The 7524-nt window shown below is 48.8% G+C and overlaps 1 protein-coding gene across 11 annotated transcripts in view; it reads left to right on the forward strand.

Moving 5' to 3' along the window:
• The window catches only part of CACNA1E (calcium voltage-gated channel subunit alpha1 E), a 490386-nt gene that overhangs the window by 93729 nt on the left and 389133 nt on the right, over window positions 1–7524 (forward strand). For all 11 annotated transcript variants that reach the window (XM_017002244.2, XM_017002243.2, XM_017002249.2 and 8 more), the window contains exon 2: window positions 1706–2153. In XM_017002244.2, the coding sequence (XP_016857733.1) occupies window positions 1720–2153 (434 nt within the window). In that variant the 5' untranslated portion in view covers window positions 1706–1719. The remainder of the gene's footprint in view (window positions 1–1705; window positions 2154–7524) is intronic.

Raw genomic sequence — 7524 nt, forward strand, 5'->3', positions numbered from 1 at the left:
AGGAGTGACCAGGGAGGCAGGAAGAATCCTTTGGTTTCCCTAAATCCTCTCTCATGCACATGCTCTTCCTTTTGCCTGTTTTCCTCTCCTGTTCTTCAACTGGCAAACTCTGTTTAACCCGGCTCCAGGGTCCTTTCCTTCACAAAGCCCTCCTGACCAACCCCAGCTGGGCTAGGTGCCCCTCTTTTTTTTCTTTTTTTGGGATGGAGTCTTGTTCTGTCACCCAGGCTGGAGTGCAATGGTGCGGTTTCAGCTCACTGCAACCTCTGCCCACCGGGTTCAAGCGATTCTCCTGTCTCAGCCTCCCAAGTAGCTGGGATTACAGGCACACGCCACCACACCTGGCTAATTTTTGTATTTTTAGTAGAGACTAGGTTTCACCATGTCGGCCAGGCTGGTCTCAAACTCCTGACCTCAAGTGATCTGCTCGCCTTGGTCTCCCAAAGTGCTGGGATTATAGGCGTGAGCCACTGCGCCCAGCCAGGTGTGCCTCTCATGTGCTCCTCTAGCAATCAGGCCTACGCCAATCATAGCACATTCTGTGATGTGGTCACAATCGATGTTCTTCCTGCCTCTTCCATGAGGATGATGTGGACTAAGTCCAGCTCATGTTGTTGTGCCTAGTGCCTGGCACAGTGCCTTGCACATGGTAAGTTCTCAGTCAACGCTGATTGAATACGTACGTCTTTCAGAGGCCAATCTGGTTATGTCCTCCTTGGCATGGAAAAGGAGAATGATGCCAAGGGGAGCAGCAGGGGCATCTGAGTCACACGTGGCCCCAGGTCCTGAGGCAGGCACAGGCATTAAAAAAGGAGGAAGGAACCTGCATACAGGACCCAGTTCTCAAGAAGAGTTCTCCTTAGGCTGGGCTCAGAGGCTCATGCCTGTAATCCTAGCACTTTGGGAGGCTGAGTGAGGAGGATCGCTTGTGCCCAGGAGTTGAGACTAGTCTAGGCAACACGGGGAAACGTCATCTCTACAAAAAATAAAAAAATTGCTGGATGTGGTGGTGTGTGCCTGTGGTTCCAGTTACTCAGGAGGCTGAGACGGGAGGATCACCGGACCCTGGGAGGTTGATGCTGCAGTGAGCCGTGATTGCACCATTGCACTCCAGCCTGGGTGACAGATCCTATCTCAAAAAAAAAAAAGGAGAGACCACCTTGTGGCTTGGTGCCCCCAGGCACGCACTTGGGAGGCAGGGCAGCAGGTGGTGGTGGCAATCCCCCCAGAGTGGGCCCTGGGGAAGGGGTTAGAGGGATTCTTCTACCAAAAATGGGAGGGAACAGCCAGCTAGCTGTCCGAGGTGGGGCTGAGATGTGCGGCCCTCGGAGTTCTCTCCTTATTGCAGCACCTCTAAACCTTACCAACGCGGCATATCATTATTTCTTTAATCTGTGTCTTCTGCAGTAGACTGTAAGTTTATGAGGGCAAGAATCCAGTCCACTTTGTTAAATTCTGGACACCTGGGGGCCCAGCCTGGTCCGCCGCGGATGCTCCTAATTTCAACATCATTTATCGAGCTCCACTGTGTGCCAGTTTGTGGGTCAGGCCCGGGATGTAGCACTGAGCAAGCCAGAAGCCTTGGCCTGGAAGGCAATGCCATTAACCTCTTTCTTTCTCTTCTCTATTTCCCTGTGACCTTGGCCCCATTCTTCCTCCCTCCCTCCCTTCCCCACTCCTTGTCTCTGCCCTCTCCCTCCCACAGAGCAATGTTCTGTGATGGTGCCCGAGATGCGTGGACTGAGCCCAGACCGCAGGCTGCCCGAGCCCGCCCCCTGCCCGGCTGCGGGGAGCCCTGAGCCCAGGTCCGCGGGCCGCCGCCAACGCCACGTCCTGGCCCTGCCGGAAGAAGAGGCATGGCGGCCCCAGCAGTGCGCTCTGCTCGAGGCCGACGCCTCGGACGAGGTGGGCATGCTGCCGGCTTCCCCGCGCGCCGCCTCTGGCTTCGACAACTTCTTCCAGGTGCAGGAGGGCGAGGGCCAGGGCTGGGAGGGCGCCATGGCACTGGAGGCGGGCTCCAGCCCTTTCCTGCCGGTGAGCCCCGAGGTCATGAAGCGGCGGCGCGGGGGCCTCATCGAGCAGCGCGACATCATCAAGGCCCACGAGGCGCACAAGATGCAGAGCACCCCGCAGGCCCGGCGCAAGGAATGGGAGTGAGTATGGCGGGGACGCGGGGGCGGGCATGGCTGGCTGGGCCTGAGGTCGGGGTGGGTTCCTGGAGCGGATGGGCCCCGTGAGGCCGCCCTGGAGGGTCGGGAGATGCTTTCGCTGTGCTGCGACTAACGAGAGGCTGGACCCTCTGGATGAGGTCCTCGTGGTCAGTCCCTGATCTCACCACCCGGCTGTAGGCCTCGTCCAGCCTCACTGAGGCGTTCAGCTGTCAGATGTGGGTGAATCAGCCTTGCCCCCAAGGCTCACTTGTTTTACTAAGAGCCTGTGGAGAAAGAACTGGGGTCTGTTTCATTCTCTGAGCTTTCCTGAAAGCCAGGGAGAATCCTTCACAACGTGGATCATCTATTTCATCTTTACTTCAGGAACTGCAGCTAACCCTGCCTTTTTAATATCCTCCTTGGATGAATGATTACATTTTGGGCACATCTCCAGTGGATGGAGGAAAATGTCCAAGATCTGTGTGGCCACTCCTGGCTTTATTTCTGCTCTGTTTGTGTAGGGCAAAAGGCCAACTTTAATTCACACCTGTTGAGAATTTTGGCTTTTTCTTCTTAGGAGTCCTAAATTAAAGGAAGATGGGATTTCACTTAATTCTCTCGGTTGCCCCAGGTTTTTGCTCCATAGAAGGACTTTGCTTTGTCCTGTGGATGCCGGAGTTTACTCGGCATGCTGGCATGCCCTGTGGTCTGTATGTCTTCATCTCTTCTTGCTTTAGATTGTTGACTTGCTAGATGTCATCAAGTACAAAGAGATTAGTCACAGATGTATTTTGATGGTGGTGGTCGTGGTGGGATTTACCTACTTGGTTTCAGTGAATGTTCTGGATGATACAAGTAGGGGTAAATGAGCTGATCTCTGTTTCATAAGGATGTTAATGTTTGTTAGTTCGCTCATTCATTCATTCAGTGAGTCCGAATGTATGCCGGGCTCCTGGGATTCAGAGAGGAGTTGGGCACAGCCAGCATTCAACAAATCTCTTGGTTGTTCATCTCTCAGCACTATTAGTATTTAGAGCCTTGCATACCTGTCTTTAAGTGCCAGGCAACATTCCAAGCACCTTACATATATCCACTCATGTTAATCTTCACCATAACTATGAGGTAGGTACAGTTATTAGCCACATGTAACCAATGAGGCACAGAGAAGTTAAGTGACTTTCTCAAGGTCACGTGGATAACAACCGCATTGTTACTGTGATTTGATATTAATTAGTAATTTGAACCCTGGCAGTCTGGTTGTGGAATCCATGCCTTTAACCATGATGGCACAGTGCCTTTCATTCTAACTCTCAAAGTACTTCTCTCAACAACCTATTGAGATGCCATGGTAAGAGCACTGGTGTTGGGGTTTGGAGACTTGGGTCTAATTCCCAGGGTGACCTAATTAGTGGTGTGACCTTGAGTAAGTCACCTCATCATGACTTCGAAAGACAAGTAGGAGGGAGTAGACTTCCTTTAAATACAATGCAGCTCTGATAGCTGGCCTTTCTTCATATTTAGAAGTACTATTTTTTAATGCACCTCCATCTTATCTTTCTAAGAGGACCCTGAACAACTTGAGGGCTGAGACTGTCATGCACATTGTTCATGTCACTCAATGCCTATCATCTGGCCTAACCCAAAAAATCCCACAATACTCAATGAAAAACTAGCTTTACCATGACTAGCAATGTGGAAATAACTTTTATGTCTCTAAGTTAAACTTTACTGATTGGAGGATGTCAAGATCTAGTACCAGCCACCTACCTGGGGTGCTGGCGGGGATGATTGGGAGACTGTTTTCACTTGGGCAGGTCCATGAAGAGGTAAACCAGGGTACACACATCAATGGCCTTGGGGAATGTCAGCCTTTAGGGGTGTGGCAGTGGAGGAAGAGCACATGAAGGAGGTGAGAAGGAGTAGAAGGAGGTGGGAGGGTAACCAGAGGGTATAGGGACAAAGAAGTAAGGAAAATGGTGTGTTCAGAAGGAAGGTCATCATCTCCATAGAATGTTGCTGAGAGGTCAAATAAAATGAAGATAGAGAAGGAAACACTGGCTTTGGCAACACAGAGATGACCTGAATGGGAGTAGTTTCCACAGGGCGATGGGGTCAGTAGCCCAGTTGGAGTGGGTTGAAAAGAAAATGGGAAGTGATAGAGACAGTGATGTTGCCCCATCCTTCTCTGCTCCCCAACACTCACGGCCTCATCATGGCTTTTCCCCTCACCACCCAAATTCCTTAGCCTCATGGCTCTGTACATGCCTTAATTTGATCTTCTCCACACCCCTCCCCAGTTCTACGAACCCTAATGTTACTGAGCAAAGAGGGCTTGCTGCTCGGGGCACTAGAAGCCAATACTACAGCACTGGGTTTTTGAGAAGAGAAGCTTTTTATTGCATGTCAATTCACAAAGAGACGGGATGTCAAGCCCAAATCTGTCTCTCTGTCCTCGCTTCAAGGCAGTATTTTCATTAGAAAAGGTTCAAGGGATTAGTAAGTGATTGGTGGAGGGAAAGGGGAGGTCTGGAAAGTCCTTGGACATGCTCAGTTATCTCTTCATGCTACCTCACAGGTCGCATGTGAAAATTCTTGAGGACTTAGTATGAAACATGTCATGGAAGTTCAGGCTGTGGTGTCAGCAGGCTTGTTCTGCAGACGCCAGTAGGCCAGGCCATCTTGGTTCCAACCGATGTCAGCCAGTTTTTTCTTGATCTCACGTTGTGGGGAATTTCAGCATTTCTGCAAGTTGTTTCTTTTCTTATCTGCCATTCTGCAAGCTCAAGAATATCTGTTAGTCATTGGTTTCTTACTCTTTGGGGCACAGTTTCAGCTTCAGCTTTTCAGCAGGTTGTTTCTTTTCTTATCTGCTATCCTGTAAGCCAAAGAATGTAGTCATTGGCCTCTTTAACTCTTTGGGGCACGGTTTCACTAATACACTGTCTGGCACTCATGTTTCATCATCAGCAAAGTCCTGTTCATCCTCCTCATCTTCTCTGGAAGTCCCCTTCACTCTCTTATTTCTGCTGGAGCCTCCCCCCAGGAATGCGGCTTGCTCTGCAGCTGCCTCATGTGACAGCTGCTTTCCCTTCCACGCTGCCTTGGACCCTGGAGTCTAGAGAAGCAATTTGCTCCTCACTATTGCTTCCAGACCATTACTCCCCTCTCCTGTCCTAAAAATGCCAGCTGTGGCGTGCATGTCATCAGATAATACCACCTACTACCCCTCGTTGCCACCATCTACAAACTCCCAAGTCACTTGCTTCATTCCAGGAAGAATGGGTTAGCCCTGGGTTTACTGCCTCTCTTCCCCACGTCTTCAGCTGCTGGCAGTTCTTAGTGATTTCAGTATCCATGTAGATGACCCTTCCTGCACCCTGACCTCTTGGTTCCTTAGCCCCTTCTGTTTGGTGACTTTGCCTTCTTGCTTCCTGCTGACAGCTCACCTCCATGGTCTGCCTGGACATTGTCGTAACTGCATTACTCCATAATCTCGGTTTCAAGCATCCCACTGTGTGATCACCCCCTCTTTTCTCTCCACTCCCTCTAGTGCTCAGTTCCCAAGATTCTTTAATCTTACTGCATCCACAAGACACTGATCCTATTACCTTTTCACTATCCCCTTCCCCAGTCATGTCACCATTTCCCATCTTATCAAACTGAACTCCATCATAAGCACCAAACATATTTTCCAGATAAAATAGTGACCTTTCACTTGAAGTCTCCTCCTACCCTCTCAAGCTCTTTCTTCTACCAACTTCTAAGATAGAATGAATCATCCACAAAGGGCAAGAATGCTGGAGCTCAAGTTGGTTTCTAGTGTACTTCATGCTTCACCATCATTATAATCTCCTTATTTTCACCCTCAACTTTGTTGTCCCTCTGCTGCTTTGTTATACCTTGTCTGGCAAGACTTCAGCCCTGCTAAATCCCACTTTCCCCTATTCTTCATGTACATATGGGCAGGTGACCATAGCTATAGAAAAAGTCACAACCACGCCGATTGACCTCACTGTGAATTGATGACTGCCACCTCCAGTTGGCCCTTAGTCCTGCCCAGAAATCTTACTACTTTTCCCTTTTCTATTCACTCTCACACTCCTCTAGAGATTATTTCACATGCTTTTCCCTTAACTCTCAAATCCCATCATTTCCTGCCAGCTCGCTCCTAGCTCATGACTACAATTGCCTTCCTACTTCACTGGGAAAATAGCAGCAATCAGGAGAGGCATGTACAGGCTCCATCCACTGCACTGACCGCCTGCTGCATCTGGTCCCTGGTACCAGGCCTTTACCTTCTGTTACTGTGGACTGACCACCCCTCAAGTTCCATGTGGAGTCTGTTGCCCATGTAGAGAAAAATGAGCCCCTTTGTTTATTCTGTCTCCATTTTTTTTTCTTACAATTTTCTCTGGAACCCATTCCAATCAGGTCTTTGTCCCAGGCAAACAAACAGCTGTTGACATGGTGACATTGGCCTTCCCAAGGCAGAATCCAATGGGTGTTCCTTCGTGTCCATCTTCCTTGACCTAGCAGCAACATTTGATCACTTCCTCTTTCTTGAAACTCTTTTGTCCTTATTTTTTATATTTTATGTTTTTTTAGAGACAGGATTTTGCCGTGTTGCCCAGACTGATCTCAAACTCTTGGCCTCAAGTAATCCTCCTGCCTCAGCCTCCTGAGCTAGGAGTACAGGTGAAAGTGTTTTGTCACATGGCTTTTACGATACCCACTCTTGGTTCTCCTCCTATGTTGTGGGTTGCTTCTCAATCTCTTGCTAGTTTCCACTTCCTTTTCCCAATCCTTACTAAACACTGGATGTCCCAGGGCTTGGTCCTCAGCCTGTTCTCTTCTCACCAGTGCTTACTTCCTAGTGCTCTTGCCCAGTCCCAGACCTTTGGTTAGCATCGTATACTGCTGACCTCTAAATTGGTGTCTGTACTCAGGACCTCTTCCCTGAATTTAAGATACCACCCACTTATTCACCATCTTTACTTGTACATCCATCGACATCTCAAGCTGAACATGTCTAACATCAAAATATTGATTTCTCTCCAAACCTGCTTCTCTTGTAGTTTTCTCTTTCATTAAACCTACATTTTTTCTGTTGCTGGGGCCAGAAATGTTGAAGTCATTTTGATTCTCACATTGACACTCAATTCTTGCCAATCCCCAGTGTCTCCCCCCTCAAAATGTATCAGATCACCATTCACCACCTCTGCTGCTGTCTCCCTGGTCCAAGCACCTTTTATTATTTTTATTCCACACACGTATATGATACTAGATGCCCAGCACTATTCTAGGTACTTTATAAATATTAATTAATTTATCCATGTAATAATTGATTGAAGCTGGTACCATTATTACCATTATT

This window comes from Homo sapiens, chromosome 1 (genome assembly GCF_000001405.40).
Source record: "Homo sapiens chromosome 1, GRCh38.p14 Primary Assembly".
In the NCBI taxonomy this organism is placed as follows: Eukaryota; Metazoa; Chordata; class Mammalia; order Primates; family Hominidae; genus Homo; species Homo sapiens.